Here is a 17830-nt window from a genome sequence, read left to right as displayed (position 1 = left end):
GTTCCTTTTTTGTCAGTCTCTTTCAATAAGCTCTTCTAGGGCAGGGATCTTGTCTTATTCATTACTGTCTCCTTAGGGTCTGTAACAGTGCTTATGCAAAGTAGGTGCTCAGGAAATATTTGTTGAATAAAACGCTGACATTAAATTCTTTTTATCTTCAGGAGGCCTTCCCTGATTCCTGCTGATATGGTTTGGCTCTGTCCCCATCCAAGTCTCATCTTGCATTGTAGCTCCCCTGATCTCCACATGTCATGGGAGGGACCCGGTGGGAGGTAATAGAATCTTGGGGGCGGGTCTTTCCTGTGCTGTTCTCATGATAGTGAATAAGTCTCAGGAGATCTGATGGTTTTATAAAGGGCAGTTCCCCTGCACAGGCTGTCTTGTCTGCTGCCATGATGTGATTGAGGATGTGATTTTGCTCCTCATTTGCCTTCTGCCATGATTGTGAGACGTGGCAGAAGTTCCACAGCCATGTGGAACTGTGAGTCCATTAAACCTCTTTCCTTTATAAATTACCCAGTCTTTGATATGTCTTAATTAGCAGCGTGAGAACAGACTAATACACCTGCCTACCAGCACTTAATGGTTAGGTGCTTCCCTACTATTCTAGTGCTTTCCTATCTCAGCTCTTTAATATTGACTGCTTATTTATCTGTATTCTCCTCTAGACTATGATTTTCTTGAGATCAGGAGCTCTATGTTGATTATCATTGTATCCCTAGAGCTTGGCATAAAGGCCTGGTGCATGGCAATGGTCACTAAACATTTTCTGAAGGTATGAGTACGTAATCAGGATCTGGTGAGCCCATTCTGGGATGAATGACTATTACTATGTGCTAAAGGAGGAAGCAAATAGAGAGAAAGAGGCCCAAAAAGGAGAATAAGATGTCCTTATGGGCATTGGTTTTATTTGTACAGGAGCTATTTTATGAACATTTTAAATTTTAGTTGGCTGAACTGTCTACCCACAGATGATTTAAAATTGTCCCTGGAGAGTGAGTGACGCAGAAAAATGGGAATGACTGGTATTGATGTGTGAATTATACCCTTCAAAGATACTCAGCAGCCTGTATGTCAGTTACATCAGGCTCCTCCTCTTAGTTACTGTATTTAGGGCATAGACTTGAATTCAGGAGGCTAAATATAGTGTCGAGAGCCCCAGGCAATTTATAGAAGACATGGCCAAAAATTTATCTCATATTTTCTAACAAGCTTTCATTTTGGCCTGTCCCTCTTGTACTGGCTTTTTTGATCTGCTTTTATCTGGGTGAACCAGGAACAAGGAACCTTTTATTAAAGGTATCTTTACCTAAGGTTAAAAAACACCCTCACTTGTGACTCCCAGTGCAGAGGACATTTAAAGCAGAGTTTTTTTGTTGTTGTTGTTTTCAGCCTTCTCTTTATTTTCTTTCTTCTTTTCTTTCCTCTTCCTCTCTTCCTTCTCCTTCTTCTTGTTTAAATGGGCCTCATTAAACAAATGAAGGCCCATTTCTTGTTTAAATGAAGCCTCATTAGAAGAGTGGAAACAGCATCTGTGACAGTAATGAGATCACCAGACAGTGAACTTCTCGTCTGAGGTCGGTACTGAAGTCAGTCCCTATTCTAAAGGGCAAAGTAGTAAAAGCAAGACTGGGCTGCCTTTGAGGAGTTTAAAGCTTTTGTCCAACTTTGGGAGAAGGCTCAAACTCATGGTGTTAAGATGTAATCTGTGCCACTCTTTTTTTTTTTTTTTCCCGAGACGGAGTTTCGCTCTTGTCGCCCAGGCGGGAGTACAATGGTGCGATCGTGGCTCACCGCAACCTCTGCCTCCCATGTTCAAGAGATTCTCCTGCCTCAGCCTCCCGAGTAGCTGGGATTACAGGCATGTGCCACCATGCTCAGCTAAGTTTTTATATTTTTAGTAGAGACAGGGTTTCTCCATGTTGGTCAGGCTAGTCTCGAACTCCTGACCTCAGGTGATCCGACCTCCTCAGCCTCCCATAGTGCTGGGATTACAGGCCTAAGCCACTGTGCCCGGCCTGTGCCATTCCTATATAAAATGCTCCTTGCCACTTAATTTTGTACTGTATTACGCCACTTGATGATTGTGTTACAATTTATCTGTCTGCACTTACTTCTACTTGTCAATCACTCCCAGCAAAAAATCACTCGAGGGCAGCTTCCTTGTCTCATGATCTTTTCTTTTTTTACTCAATGCCCCATATATAGTAGATTCTCATAAGATAGAATTATTGTTTGATTTGAACACACACACACACACATCACACAGTTACAAGTATATACTCTAAGTATTCCTCTAAGCCTTTTTCCAAAAGGACCTCAAGGTCCTTTTGGAAGACTTGTAAGATGCAGGGGTGGTGACATTTGTCATATTCACATTTACTTTGCCTTGTGCAAAAGAAAGCCAGATGTTAGAAAATGCCTGTGGATTTTCATAAACTTACTCAGATGGTGAATCCAGTTGTAGCATCTGTTCCAGATACACTACATTTACTAATAAAAACCTTGTAGCCCCTGGAATTGGATATGAAGTGATTGACCCAGCAAATGCTATTTCCTCCACACCAATTTGCAAAGACTGCCAGAAGGAGTTTGTTTTTTCCTGATAGGGCAAAGAGTATACTTTCTTAGTGTATGCACAGGGCCATGTCAGCTCTCTTACTGTCTGCCATATTGTATCTGCAGCGATTTTGATTATTTTGACATTCCAAAGAATAGCATGCTAGTCCACAGCATTGATGACATTGTGCTGACTGGATTGAGATGAACAGGGAATATCGCATACTTCAGATGCCTTAGGAAGACATATGTGAGCCAGAGGAGGGCAGAGAATTCCAATTCCTTATAACCATTACTGTATAGTTAGGATCCTGTCATAAAAACAGATATCAGTTATTTTAACAGAATTTAATATAAAGAATTGGCTAAACAGAATAAAGGATTAAAAAAAAATTTTGGTTGAGGTGGGCAGATCACCTAAGGTCAGAGGAGTTCGAGACCAGCCTGGCCAACATGGTGAAACCCTGTCTCTACTAAAAATACAAAAATTAGCCGGGTGTGGTGGTGGGCGCCTGTAATCCCAGCTACTGGGGAGGCTGAGGCAGGAGAATTGCTTGAACCCAGGAGGCGGAGGTTGCAGTGAGCCAAGATCATGCCACTGCGCTCAAGCCTGAGCTGGAGACGTTGTCTCAAAAAGAAAAAAAAAATTTTTTTTGCAAAAATGAGGTCTTGCTATGTTGACCAGGCTGGTCTTGAACTCCTAGCCTCAAGCAATCCTCTCATCTCACCTCTCAAATTGCTGGAACTACAGGAATGAGCCACCATGCCTGGCCCAGGATAGAGAACTTAAATAGCTAAAAGGGAATCCTGATGTATCACAGAGGCATTGACAGCATAAAGCAGTTGTCACTTTTAGGACACAAAGGCAAGATGTTGGGATTATTGGAAACTAGAAACTTGGAGCAGGAACCTTCCAGGGGTGGCCTCGGCCTCTGAGGAGTTTCAGGACTAAGACGAGGGCCCTAAAGAATTGCCATTCAGACCTCTGAGAAGAGAAGAAGGAGAGAAAGCACAGTGGGAAGTACGTTGGACAGATGGTGGGGCCAGAAAATGAAAGTTCATTCAAGGCGGTAGGAAGATCAGCTTATACACACTATGTTGCAAAGTTTAGTTGACTTGATTTATTTCAGGAATGGGATAAGGAAGTAAATACACAAGAGGAAAAGACATTCAAGAAAATTGAAGATATATTTCATGCAGATAACTCTCACTTTTCTTATTTTACTTTAAAACCACTGTTGACAGAGATGAAAAACCTACCGAAAACAAACAGCTAGTCCATGGAAATATGTTTGCTGGTTCCTGGAGTTGAGAGGCAGCAACACTTGGGCCCAAGATAACAGCGGGAAGTGCAGAGAAACTTCTGAGCCAGACTGAACTTAGTTCAAATCTTAGCTTTATCACAAGCTGTGATATTACTCAAGTTATTTAACTTCTCTGTACCTCAGTTTTTGTAATTGGGATTATTATTACTACCATCACAAGTTGAGTTCCACAGAACTAAAATCGAAGTGCCAGCATGCCTCCAACACTTACCCCATGCTTCATCTGGGGATTTACTGCACCCAAATTATAATCCCCTGTATTATAATAACCAAGAACAATCTGTCTATTTCTGATCCACAATAATTATTTATAACACCGCCTTTTTTCCCCCAGTAGATGCCTGGAGTTTGAATCTGTTTAGCATGAACTCCTAGAAATCCCTCACTTTCTTGGTGTACACCCGAATTTGGGAGACTCCGGGTTGAATATCAGAAAGACTTAAAAGGCTATCAGACAAACGCTTGATTGAAATTTTCCCCAGGATTAAAACAGGCAGAGTCTCAGTATGAGTGATAATAATAACAGTACAGGGATGTCCCCTTAAAGACAATGGGGAAAGACAAGGAGATTTGAAATAGATGAAAATGTGGAACTCAGAAGATGTAGGTTCATATAAACTTTTTTTTTTTTTTTGAGATGAAGTCTCGCTCTGTCACCCAGCCTAGAGTGCAGTGGCACAATCTTGGCTCACTGCAACCTCCGCCTCCCAGGTTCAAGGAATTCTCCTGCCTCAGCCTCCCGAGTAGCTGGGACTACAGGCGCCTGCCACCACGCCCGGCTAATTTTTTATTTGTAGTAGAGACGGGGTTTCACCATCTTGGCCAGGCTGGTCTCGAACTCCTGACCTTGTGATCCACCCACCTCGGCCTCCCAAAGTGCTGGGATTACAGGCGTGAGCCACCGTGCCCGGCCGGTTCATATAAACTTTAGAAAGGGAGTCAGAGAATAAGAATTTATCAGCTTACTCTAAGCATTTCCCAAAGGACTGGGATTCCAATTCCAAGTGAGCAAAGATTTATCCTTCTAGAGAAGGAAAGGGCCATTCATTTGCTTTCCATAGCTTATTGGAAAATATCTCTGTGTAACTCGTATCCAGCAGTCATCAGGCATCTTCTCATTCTAATTTGCTTTCCTTAGCCGACTTGCATGCTAGAAGGAAGTGCCCTCTGCTGGTGTAAGAGTTCATAGGCCAAGTCCTTCTCGCATTCTAATTTGGTACCTTATAATTGGTTTCCTGTTACTGAACAGTCCTGTGTGAGTTTGGGTGATAATATTACACTGAGGCCTGAATTGGGGCAGGACCAGCATCAAACTAATTAGGGCCAGCATTCCACATCAATAGCATATATGTGGCTATGTTTGGGGGTTCCAAAAGTCCTTGTAATCTCAAATTATCTTTGCTGCTCATCTGCTATAACGTCTGAAATGCTACCATTAAATTTATCCCATTAGACTATAGTTCCAAGAATTACCAAAATGTAAGTTCATTTCAACCTAATAAACTCTTACTGGGTAAACCTTTAGTTTAGGGCATTGCGATGGGTACTCGGAGTTAAAAACCAAAAGCAAAAATTAAGATGGTGATTAAGTAAGTTTATCTATCACCCTCAACAGCTGCAAAACAAATTGTACGATGCAATGAAAAGTTAATATATCCAAAAATGCCCAAAAGAGGGATAAGGACTCTTATGCAATAAAAATTCAAAGAACTGAGTGATTAGTAGGTGCTGGAGTAGCCAGACATATGACTTGCATCAGGACTTCAGAGGTAAATAGCCCATTTGTGGTGGTCGTAAACAATTTAGGTTTCGCTGGTGAATTAGCTATCCAGGCTCCTTGAAAAGAGAAAGATTTAGAATGAATTCGATGACACTGCTCAGGGGCTTACTAAATTAGAGAATAGCTTACATGGGAGACCCCAGGACAAATACCTGGGGGCTGAATTGTGTGACAACCAAAAAGTTTCCAAGGACAAATTTGAAATTTGACTATTTGCACAGGGATGTCAGAGCTTTGTTGGATGATGGTACCCCGTGGGTGCCCTGACATACCTGAAGCTCTGTTTGAATAACGAACACAGTGAACAGTGAAATGGCCCTTTGCATAATCTGGGAAAGTCCTTGGAAATCCTGATGTGAAAGGCAGACTGGAAAAGGTCATTGTTGAGATTTTCCCTCCCCTCCCCTCCCCTCCCCTCCCCTCCCCTCCCCCCTCCCTCTCTCTCCCTCTCTCTCTTTCTCTCTCTCTCCCTTCCTTTCTCTTTCTCTCTTTCTTTCTTTCCTTTTCTGAGGCACAGTGTCACTATGTTGCCCAAGCCAGTCTCAAACTCCTGGGCTCAAATAATTCTCCCGCCTCGGCCTCCCAAAGTGCTGGGACTGCAGGCATGAGCCACCACGCTCAGCCACTGTTGAGATGTTGTAAGCAAATTGTTATGGAATGCAACCCCAAATTCATATATTGAAACCCTAACCTCCACTGTGATGGTAGTTGGAGGTGGGACCGCTGGCGGGTAGTGAGTTGATCATGAGGATGGAGCCCCCAGGATGGGATTAGTGTTTTTTATAAAAAGAGATTAGTGTGCTCTCCTTCCTCCCAACCCCTTCTCTGTCAAGTGAGGATACAACAAAAAGATAGCCACTTGCCAACCAGAAAGAGGGCTTTCACCAGACACGAAATCTGTCAGCAACTTGATCTCAGACTTGCCAGGCTGCAGAATGATGAGAAATAAATGTTTGTTGTTGAAGCCACCCAGTCTATGGTATTCATTATAGCAGCTCAAACAGACTAAGATGCAAATCAATATAAAACACTCTGTGAAAAAAAAGAAATGCTTTCAATATTTTCCAGTGAAAAAGAACTCATAATAAGGATTTGACATTGTTTGACAGGAAGGAAGGCTTCTGTTTCTAGTTTTTTAGTTAACTTGACAGTGAAGTTCAAGTTTGACAGTTTAAACTTTCTTTGGTTTGAAATCATCATTGCCAGGTGGGGGAAGAGGAAGCAGGACCCACACAGGACTCAGGAGGGCATTTAGGTCATTCTACCCAGGCCATTGCCATTCTCTTCCTACTCCTCTGAAAGAAAGGGAGGCTTTGACGTCAGGCGTGGGTGAGTCATCTTTCCTCCCAGGGCCTCCGGCTGGAATTTGCAGGCTGTCTTTGCAGCAGCTATTCTGTTAGTCATTCACAAAAAAGCATCCTGGAAAAGCTGAAGGGAAATGCTTGGATGGACAAGTGATTAAATTTCTATTTTCATGGCAGAGAACCTGCTGGCTTGCTCACAAAAGCAGCTGCATCCAGTACCAGGCACCCCAAGGGCACCCGGTAAATACTTGTGGATTCATTGACGAAAAGATCTGCTGGGTTCTCTTAAATCTTGGTGTTGAAACTGAATTTTCAGATACGATTATGTGACTGGTAGATAAGGTTTTGTGCCTATTTACTTCTCCATGCTCAAATGTCAAATCAAATTTATTGGGTTTACATAAAGAGGTTAGTAACATTGCTGGCCCTACTATCATGAACATTGTGAAAGGAAAATGAATAAGGCCCTTTCTGAAGCTTTATCTGCAGGGGTACATGTGTGGGATTCAATGGAAGGAAAGTTGAACTGTGAGCTAAGAATGATTGTCTCTTTTGCTCCAGGAAGCCCTCAGCAATCATTTGATCTTTTTTGAGAATCTGTTAGGGAAAAGAATAAAAATATCTCCTTACCTGCCAGAAATGCAGGGAAACAAGAATGAAGCAAAAGGAAGAGTATGAGTCCTACATCCTTCCAGCCTGAGACAGGATGTATCCTTATTGCTTTGCCTGCAGTGAACTGACAGGGAATCTGAGATGCACAGAGGCATGGTGAATTAGCCAGAGAAGTCTAGCAACTGCAGCCTGAGCCCTCTTCCCTTTTCCGTCTCTTAGGCGATCTCCACAGCTTTATACACGATCTACGTCCATGACTCTTAATTAGATTTCTATCTCTAGTCCTTCTCCTTCTTCACATATATAACTTTGTGCTTTACACTTTTATGTGAAGTTCTGGTAGGTATTTCAAACTTCACATTCGAACTCAAACTCATGACTTTCACCTCAAGCATGCTCCTCCCTTGTCTCCCTTAGGAGGGACTACCGTTTACAGTTATCTAAGCCAAAAAGTCTAGGCGTCATCCTTGAATCCTCTGTTCTTTTCATCCCCCATGAGATACAATTTGGTATTAAGACAAATTCTTTCTCTGTTTCTTTCTCTCTATTTCCACTGTGAATACCCTAGAATAAACCATGCTCCTTTCTCACTGGGTGGACAGCAGTCACTCTAGTCTCTCTTATTTTACTCTTGACTTCTATTGATATAGGAGTTAAGAAGAAATTACTTAGGCAGATAGTGAGGGTACTGGAGTCCTCGATAAGATTTTCCTTTTTAATGAAAAGCAGCCCCAAATCATTTTCTAACAAACAACAGCTTGTAAAATCAAGCTGCAGACATAGACAAGCAAGCTGGAAGATTGCAGGGATGAATCCCAGTAGAAAAGCACTATCTGGGACTAGGCATGTTCAAAATGGCAGCTTCATCTTCCCTTCCCTTTGCCAGCCACGTGTACAGTAAGGAGCAGACAAGATGGCACCAGCCAAGTTGAAAGCCCATTTGCATAATAAGATAGGCAGGATGGGGGTGGTGACCAGCCTTCTCCGCATGCCATGTAAACATCACACCTGATCGAACCAATCTGTGAGCCCTATGTAAATCAGACACTGCCTTCTCAAGCCTGCCTATAAAATCCAGTGAACTCTGCTGCCGACCAGTCTTTTCTCTCCGCAGCACTTCTCTCTCACTGGAGAGAGAACTGTTCTCCTTTCTCTTTCTTCTGCCTATTAAGCCTCTGCTCCTAAACTCCTCATGTGTGTCTGTGTCCTAAATTTTCCTGGCATGGCAGGACAAACCCCGGGTATTTACCACAGACAACAAAACCGCTTCACTATGATGTATGCATGCTGCAAAGGAAGGTTCGTATAAAATTCTTCTTAAAAAATTATTCAGGCAGCCGGGCGCGGTGGCTCACGCCTGTAATCCCAGCACTTTGGGAGGCCGAGGCGGGCGGATCACGAGGTCAGGAGATCCAGACCATCCTGGCTAACATGGTGAAACCCCGTCTCTACTAAAAATACAAAAAAATTAGCCGGGCGTGGTGGTGGGCGCCTGTAGTCCCAGCAAGCTACTCGGGAGGGTGAGGCAGGAGAATGGCGGGAACCCGGGAGGCGTAGCTTGCAGTGAGCCGAGATGGCGCCACTGCACTCCAGGCTGGGTGACAGAGCGAGACTCCATCTAAAAAAAAAAAAAAAAAAATTATTCAGGCAATTTATTAAATATTACCTATAAAATATTATGTATCTGTATTTTACATAAGAAAACAATGATTTATTGGTCTTCATAACAACTGGTCCATGCAACAATACTAAGTAGTCAACACTAAGCTCAACTCTATTTTCAGACCAACGATGCAACTTTAGATTAGAGGACATGTGGGATCTTGCATCCTAATTCCTAAATTTACAGTCAAAATGTTTTCAGAGATAAGTATTATGAAATCCATGAGAAGCTAAAATAATTTATTTATTTATTTATTTACTTTGAGATGGAGTCTTGCTCTTGTCACCCAGGCTGGCATGCAATGGCGTGATCTCAGCTCACTGCAACCTCCGCCTCCAGGGTTAAGCAATTCTCCTGCCTCAGCCTCCAAGTAGCTGTGATTAAGGCGTGTGCCACCACACTGAGCTAATTTTTGTATTTTTAGTAAAGCCGAGGTTTCACCATGTTGACCAGGCTGGTCTCAAACTCCTGACCTCAGGTAATCCACCCACCTCGGCCTCGCAAAGTGTTGGGATTACAGGCGTGAGCCACCGCACCTAGCTCTACCTCTTCTGAAGTTGTTTCTTTTCTGTCTCTTAGATCTCAGCCCTAAGGTCCCTTCCCTGAGAAGGCATTTCTGGGTACCCTTTCTAAAGCAGCGGTCTCTGTGGCTCCCTCAGTCCTTGTGCATCATATCATTGTTTAATTCGTTTGTAAAATTAACCACATACTGAAACTATCCATCTTATTTATTTACTTGTTTATTATATCTCCACTATCTCTTGCTTCTTTCCAAGTAAGTTGTGACCTCCATGTGAATGAGGGCTTTGTCCTTCTTAAAAGAGGCAATTATGGAGCAGTGATTAAGCTCTCACACTCTGGAAGCAGATTTCTTGGATTCATAGCCCAATTTTGCCACTTGCTAGGTATTTGACCTAAAATAATTGTTTGACCTCTCTGTTCCTCTCTCTTCTCATTAGTAAAATGACAGCAGTAAAAAGACCTGCCTCATGAAATTGTTGTAAAAAGCTCACTCCCTGCAAGTTATCCCTGGCGCAAGGCACATACTCAGCAAATGTTGGCTGCCACTGTTGATGACTGTACAGTACCTGCTTAACACGTATTAATAGCGTGAACAGGCCGGGCGTGGTGGCTTATGCCTGTAATCCCAGCACTTCGGGAGGCTGAGGTGGGTGGATCAACTGATGTTAGGATTTCGAGCCCAGCTTGGCCAACGTGGTGAAACCCTGTCTCTACTAAAAATGCAAAAATTAGCTGGGCGGGGTGGCGGGTGCCTGTAATCCCAGCTACTCGGGAGGCTGAGGCGGGAGAATCGCTTGAACCCGGGAGGTGGAGGTTGCAGTGAGCCGAGGTTGCACCATTGCACTCCAGCCTGGGTGACAGAGCGAGACTCTGTCTCAAAAAATAAAAATAAATAAATAAATAAATAGAGTGAACAATAAATTAGTTTTATTATTCAAGGAACACTTCTGCTCTGTCATGGAACATTTTTGGGAATATGCATAGGGGCTGAGAGAACAGGCGAGCTGTCCTCGGAAACCTCTTTGGATGATGGCTGGGCAGAACTGCAGCTCTGCAGAGAGAGATGCGAGCCAGTGTGTGGAAATGGAAAATGATCATAATAGAAGCCAGAGTTTGTATTTTGTACCGATTCTGTGCTAAGTGCTGTGACCCATTTTTCTATTTTGCCTTTCAAAAATTACTAATCCATTTGTGTGAAGTTTATTATGAAACACTTCTTAGGGCTCCTGGTTACAGCAACCTTCCTGATACTACAGAAACGGCACACGACCCATTCCCTGCTGGAACATGCCTTAGCTTCTACTCCATGCCTGGTTAGGAACTGCCCATCTTCAGCTCCCAACTGAAATGGCATTGCCTTAGTGAAGCCTCAGTTGACCCTGGCAAGATGTTCCAGCTTTCCCTGGAATATTAGTTCTTCATGCCTTCTACCTTGCCTTTCTGGCATATATCACACCTTACATTAATTCGAATGACTAATTAGTCTCTTTCTTTCTTTCTTTTTTTTTTTTTTTTGAGACAGTCTCATTCGCTCTGTCGCCCAGGCTAGAGTGTAGTGGTGGGATCTCTGCTCATTGCAACCTCTGCCTCCTGGGTTCAAGTGATTCTCCTGCTTCAGTCTCCCAAGTAGCTGGGATTAAAGGTGCATGCCACGATGCCTGGCTAATTTCTTGTATTTTTAGCAGAGATGGGGTTTCACCATGTTGGCCAGGCTGGTCTCGAGCTCCTGACCTCACATGATCCACCTGCCTCAGCCTCCCAAAGTGCTGGGATTACAGGCATGAGCCAGGGCGCCCGTCCCATTGGCTTTATTTCTTCAGAGTCTGGTTCAACAACAACAACAAAAGCCAGGAAATTCAAGATAAAAGAAACATTAAGCAGAAGTATTTTAATGACCACTTGATGAAAAAAGTCATTCAGCACTTCGTTATTCTTATTAAAATGAGAATGACTTTTTCATTTTATTTTATTTTTTAGAGACAGAATCTTGCTCTATCACCCAGCTGGAGTGCAGTGGCACCATTGCAGCTTACTGCAGCCTCAAACTCCTGGCTCAAGGGATCCTTCAGCTTCAGCCTCCTGGTTAACTAGGACTATAGGTGAGCACCATCATGCCCTGCTAATTTCTTAATTTTTTGTAGAGATGGAGTTTTGGTATGTTGCCCAGGCTAAGAATAACTTTAATCCATCATGAGCTATACTACTGGTTTACAATTTTTGATTATTTATGCCAATGTTTTCCAGTAGGGCTTCGTAGAAAATTAACTGGAAGTCTGATGAAATTCAGAGAGTAAAAAAAAGAAAAGAAAAAAATCACACTGATGATATCTTGGCAAAAGTAGGGAAATGACCAAAAGAAGCTATTGTTTTACCCACTCAATTTATGGTCTATGAAAAGCAGAACTGCTTCTGAAACCACCTTTGCAAAATTATGACTGAGACAGTGAAAGAGATCTAACTTAATTGACTCCATCTTGCCTCTAACCTCCAAGCTGTTCTTGTTCATTCCTGGGTGTAGGCTAAACTAACTTTGGGACAGACTCAGTTTATAGTTTATAGTTTAAAACAAAGATGATAACAGCCCTTTCCCAAAGCAGACCTCCTTCTTGCCTGGGGACTAGACTGCCTTTGTAAGACTGACAAATTAGCCACAAGATTAGAAATTAAGGTTTAGGAGTCATGCAACTGGAGGCTACAAGATTCTGACCCCCACTAAACTGCTCCTAAGATCAGGGCTTGAGATATTTTGCAGACCCTGCACTTGATGGATCAGCTGGCACCACCCAGATTGATTAACTGGCTCATCTGATCTTGTGGCCCCCACCCAGGAACTGACACAGCACAGGAAGACAGCTTTGACTCCCTGTGATTTCATTGCTGACCTGACCAATCAGCACTCCTGGCTCACTGGGCTCCCCCACCCATCAAGTTGTCCTTAAATACCCTGCTTCCCAAATGTTGGGGAGACTGATTTGAGTAATAATAAAACTCCAAAAAAAAAAACAGAAACAAAAACAAAAACAAAACAAAACAATCCACCACCAACAAAAAAACCCTCCAGTCTCCCGCACAGCTGGCTCTGCGTCAATTACTCTTTCTCTATTGCAATTCTCCTGTCTTGATAAATGGGCTCTGTGTAGGCAGCAGGCAAGGTGATCCCTTGGGCAGTTACACTTCTGATGGGAGAGATCAGAATAATCAATGAGAAGTTTTAATTCAAGGACAAATTGTAAGACACTTATTAAGTCCAATTGTGAAGAGACCTATTTCAAATAGAATGTAATGCCACATCTCTTGTCTGGAATTTGATTTTTTCCTACCTTTAACAAATGAATATTTCAAGGAGGGATAAGATTTTTCATAAGTGTGTATGAAAGGTATATTTACCATTTGAGATTAGATGTTAAGAAGAATAAACTGAAATTACATTATTGATAAAGTTACTGCAAGATCTTTTAATATGAATTGAGTCATACGGGAAAGTTTGCAAAAGAAAAATCTTGTGAACCAATGTTCAGCTTGAAAAATATGAGCTTATCTGAAGGGCTGAAAATGGAAGAAGAGAGTAACACATGAGAATAAAAATGAAACAAAAAAAGAACTTTAGAATGAAAGGGAAGTGTATTTTAACATCTCCATCCTTTCAATTTTTTTTTTTTTTTTTTTTTTTTGGGACTGAGTCTCGCTCTATCACCCAGGCTGGAGCACACTGGCATGATCTCAGCTCACTGCAACCTCCGCCTCCCAGGTTCAAGCAATTCTGGTGCCTCAGCCTCCCAAGTAGCTGGGATTACAGGCGCCCTCCACTGTGCCCGGCTAATTTTTGTATTTTTAGTAGAGATGGGGTTTCACCGTGTTGGCCAGGTTGGTCTCAAACTGCTGACCTCAAGTGATCCGCTTGCCTCAGCCTCCCAAAGTGTTGGGATTACAGGTGTGAAACACCACATCCGGCCTCCATCCTTTAAATTTTTTTAAAGTCTCCTCTTTTGTTCTTTTTATGTCTTTAACGTTTTAATTTATATATGTAACTCAATAACTTTATTTCTTTTACAGAAAAGCATCTTTTTGAATTCTGTATCTAAAGCAGTCAGTTTTGGTAAACTATATTTTCCTAGAAAATTCTCCATTTCATCTAGTTTTTCAAAGGTATTTGTACAGAGGTCTGAAAAGTAGTCTCATTAAAAATTTTTTCTATTTGAATTATTATTTCTGCTATGTCATTAATTTTATGTATTTGTACTTGGCTTTTTTTTCCCCTCAGTTAGGTTAGCTAGTGCTGTAACCATCCAACGGATTCACCTTGCCTGCAGGTAGCCAATTTATCAAGACAGGGGAATTGCAATAGAGAAAGAGTAATTCACGCAGAGCCGGCTGTGTGGGAGACTGGAGTTTTATTATTACTCAAATCAGTCTCCCTGAGCATTTGGGGATCAGAGCTTTTAAGGACAACTTGGTGGGTCAGGGGAAGCCAGTGAGCCGGGAATGCTGATTGGTCAGGTGAGAGATGAAATCATGAGAAGTTGAAGCTGTCCACTTGTGCTGAGTGAGTTTCTGTGTTAGGGCCTCAAGATCAGATGAGCCAGTTAATCAATCTGGGTGGTGCCAGCTGATCCATCAAGTGCAGGGTCTGCAAGATACCTCAAGCACTGATCTTAGGAGCAGTTTGCGGGGGTCAGAATCTTGTAATCTCCAGCTGCATGAGGCCTAAACCGTAATTTCTAATCTTGTGGCTAATTTGTTAGTCCTACAAAGGCAGTCTAGTCTCCAGGCAAGAAGGAGGTTTGTTTTGGGAAAGGGCTGTTATTGTCTTTGTTTTAAACTATAAGCTAAGTTCCTCCCAAAGTTTGTTCAGCCTACACCCAGGAAGGAACAAGGACAGCTTAAAAGTTAGAACCAAGGTGGAGTTGGTGAGGTTAGCTCTCTTTCACTGTCTCAGTCATAATTTTGCAAAGGTGGTTTCAGTGCTTTGTCTATTTTGTTGATACTAGAAACAAACAATATTTTGTTTTCCTAATTAGATCCACTGTTTTCTGTTGTCTCGCTCATCGATTTCTGTTTTCATATTTGTTAGTTTTATGAAAGAAGTTAGAATTAAAATCAAGCCACTTATGTCAGACCCTGACAAAATGGAGCCAGGGAAGGCCATGAAGGGAGGGTTCTTGTGCCTGATATGAAGACTTTCACAAAAGACTGCAAAAACCACACTTTGCACGAAGGCCATTGGAACCTTACACAGAAAATATTTTTGTGAGAACATCTTCCCAGCAACTGCTTGTCCCACCTCGGACCAACACTACCCTTGTTATCGATCCTTGTAGCCAAGGATAATTGTTTCAGAGACACAGATGTAAGTGTTTTTGATTTAAAAACCCTTCTCTTCCTTTACCTCTGTGAATACGTTCATAGTTTACTATGGCACAGTGTTCCACATTAAAATGCCCACTCCCAAATAAACTTATGCCTTTTTAAAAATAAAATAAAAAATAAAATAAAATAAAATAAACACAAGTTCTCACTCTGTCACCCAGGCTGGAGTGCAGTGATGTGATCATGGCTTACTGCAGCCTTGACCTCCCAGGCTCAGGTGATCCTCCCATCTCGGCCTCCCAAAGTGCTGGGATTACAGGCATGAACCACTGTGTCCAGCCAAACTTATCTTTGGAGTATTGTAACCGAGCGAGTTATAGAGAAATGCCACACTCTGAGACTAATTCAGGAGTCCTTTATTGCTGGTGACCGAGAGACGGCTAGAGCTCAAAATTCTCTTGGCCCCAAAGAAGGGGCTAGATTTTCTTTTATACCTTGGTCTAAAAGGGGAGCGGGGAGCCTAGCTGAAGCAATTTTTACAGAAGCAGAACAGGCAAAAAGTTAAAAAAAAATTAATGGTTACAGAGATAGTTACAGAAAAATAAGCAGTTCCAGGTGCAGGGGCTTTAACTGTCACAAAGAGATAATGCAGGTGCTTTGGGTACCATCCACCGAGCACATCCCCAGGAGCTGCTGGTACAGCTTGCCTCAATATCTTATCAGTAAGTGCATCCTGGGTGTGCTTGGAGTTAGCTTGCACTAGTTATGCCCTTAAGGGAGGGGGGTAAGGGGGACTGCAAGTGACGAAACTAAAATGGGTCCAGCTTTCTCAGCTAAGGGAGACAATCAGGTTAAAACAAGGTAGGGTATCACAGGAGAATCTCTATTATTTAGGTTGACTTTTTTATAAGTACTGTGTGCTAACCAGTTGCACCACTAGAGCCACTGACTTGTGCTATATTTTAGTTTACTTTGTTGTTGTTGTTGCTGTTATTGTTTAGCTTTTATGAGTTGGGAATTTAGTTTTAAAGCAAATTCTTTCCTTTATATTGATAAAGCATTTGAGGCTATGAATTTTCCTCTGATAACAGCTTTAAATATAGCCCATAGATTCTGAAATGCAGCATTTTCATTATTATTAATTTTCATTATCATAAATTATCATAAAATGTATAATTTTCATTATCAATAATAACAAAACATAATTATCTCAGTTGCAAATTTCCTTTTTAACTAATAGCTGTTTAGAAGTATTTTTCAGTTTAAAGTTTTTATTTTATTTTTAAAAAATTTTATTGAGATGTGACTTACAAATTAGAAATTGTGTATATTTAAGTTATACAACATGGCATTTTCATATAAGTATACATTATGTAATGATTCCCACAATCAAACTAATTAATACATTCATCACCTTGCATAGTTATTAATATTTGTGTGTATGTGTGGTAAGAACACTTAAAATCTACTCCCTTAATAAATTTCAAGTATTATATTTATTATTAACTATGTTTGCCATGTTATACTGTACTCTAGAACTTTTATTCATCTTATAACTGAAACTTGTACTCTTTGACCAACATGTCTCCATTTATTTTGAAATTATTTTTATTTTTATAAAAAAGTTGCAGTGATAGTACAGAGAGTTTTCATATACGCTTCAGCCAGTTTCTCCTATTGTTTATAGGAGACTATCTTATGTTATCATGGTACATCTGTCAAAACTAAGAATCAACATTGGTACATTACTGTGGACTATTCTCAAGACTTTATTTGGATTTAATTTTCCCATTAATGTTCTCTTTCTGTTCTGGGATCTAATCCAGGGTGCCAAATCGCATTTAATTGTCAAGTATCTTTAGTCTACTCTGGTCTGTGACAGTTAAATGGTTTTTTAATGTCCCAAAAGAAGGGCCTTTTAGCTTTTTTTTTGAGACAGAGTTTCGCTCTTGTTGCTTAGGCTGGAGTGCAATGGCGTGATCTCGGCTCACTGCAGCTTCTGCCTCCCGGATTCAAGTGATTCTCCTGCCTCAGCCTCCCGAGTAGCTGGGATTACAGGCTCCTGCCACCACGGCTGGCTAATTTTTGTATTTTTGTAGAGATGGAGTTTCACCATGTTGGCCAGGCCGGTCTTGAACTCCTGAGCTCAAGTGATCCACCTGCCTCAGCCTCCCAAAGTGCTGGGATTACAAGTGTGAGCCACCGTGCCTTAACATTCAATATTAAGTTGGAGCCATCAGTTTTAGATAATTGTGGCTGGAGCTTGGAAAAGAATTACTAACAACTTTTAGATTTTTCTGTACTTTCATCTTCTTCTAGTATCAATTTCCATGGAAATTCAACCATTCATACACCAATTAATTCTACCATTCATTTATCTATCCATACTATGATTATTAAATCTTATGCGGTACCTAAACACACCACACCCTTTTGTGTTATTTCTGTTCTTTTCTACACGCTCTTCCCACTGATTGGAGCACCCCTCTGACTCACTGGCTAACTGCTACTTTTTGTTCAAAAATCAGCTGAGAGGGCAACTCATCTGTGAATTTTTTCTTGACTTCCCTCCTCCCAGGCTGGGTTAGGTGCCTCCCTATCTCTTTTTTTACTTAAATTTTTTTTCTTTATTATTTCTTTATTTTTTTGAGATGGAGTTTCACTTCTTGTCGCCCAGGCTGGAGTGCAATGGTGCGATCTAGGCTCACTGCAACCTCTGCCTGCTGGGTTTAAGCAATTCTCCTGTCTCAGCCTCCCA

The 17830-nt window shown here is 41.7% G+C and overlaps 3 annotated features.

The window, feature by feature from the left end:
- Window positions 5880–6547: an enhancer, noted in NCBI's record as "H3K27ac hESC enhancer chr2:224590907-224591574 (GRCh37/hg19 assembly coordinates)". NCBI's record gives its function as "activates a minimal SCP1, AML or CMV promoter by ChIP-STARR-seq in primed H9 embryonic stem cells {active_cell/tissue: H9 hESC(primed)}" and the evidence as "EXISTENCE:reporter gene assay evidence [ECO:0000049][PMID:30033119]".
- Window positions 5880–7442: a biological region, named in NCBI's record as "BRD4-independent group 4 enhancer GRCh37_chr2:224590012-224591211".
- Window positions 6243–7442: an enhancer, noted in NCBI's record as "BRD4-independent group 4 enhancer chr2:224590012-224591211 (GRCh37/hg19 assembly coordinates)". NCBI's record gives its function as "activates an origin of replication core promoter dependent on BRD2, P300/CBP, MED14 and CDK7 cofactors, and independent of BRD4, by STARR-seq in HCT116 cells {active_cell/tissue: HCT116}" and the evidence as "EXISTENCE:reporter gene assay evidence [ECO:0000049][PMID:35650434]".

Source organism: Homo sapiens, chromosome 2 (genome assembly GCF_000001405.40).
Source record: "Homo sapiens chromosome 2, GRCh38.p14 Primary Assembly".
Classification (NCBI taxonomy): Eukaryota; Metazoa; Chordata; class Mammalia; order Primates; family Hominidae; genus Homo; species Homo sapiens.
This window is presented reverse-complemented; position numbering and strand designations above follow the sequence as displayed.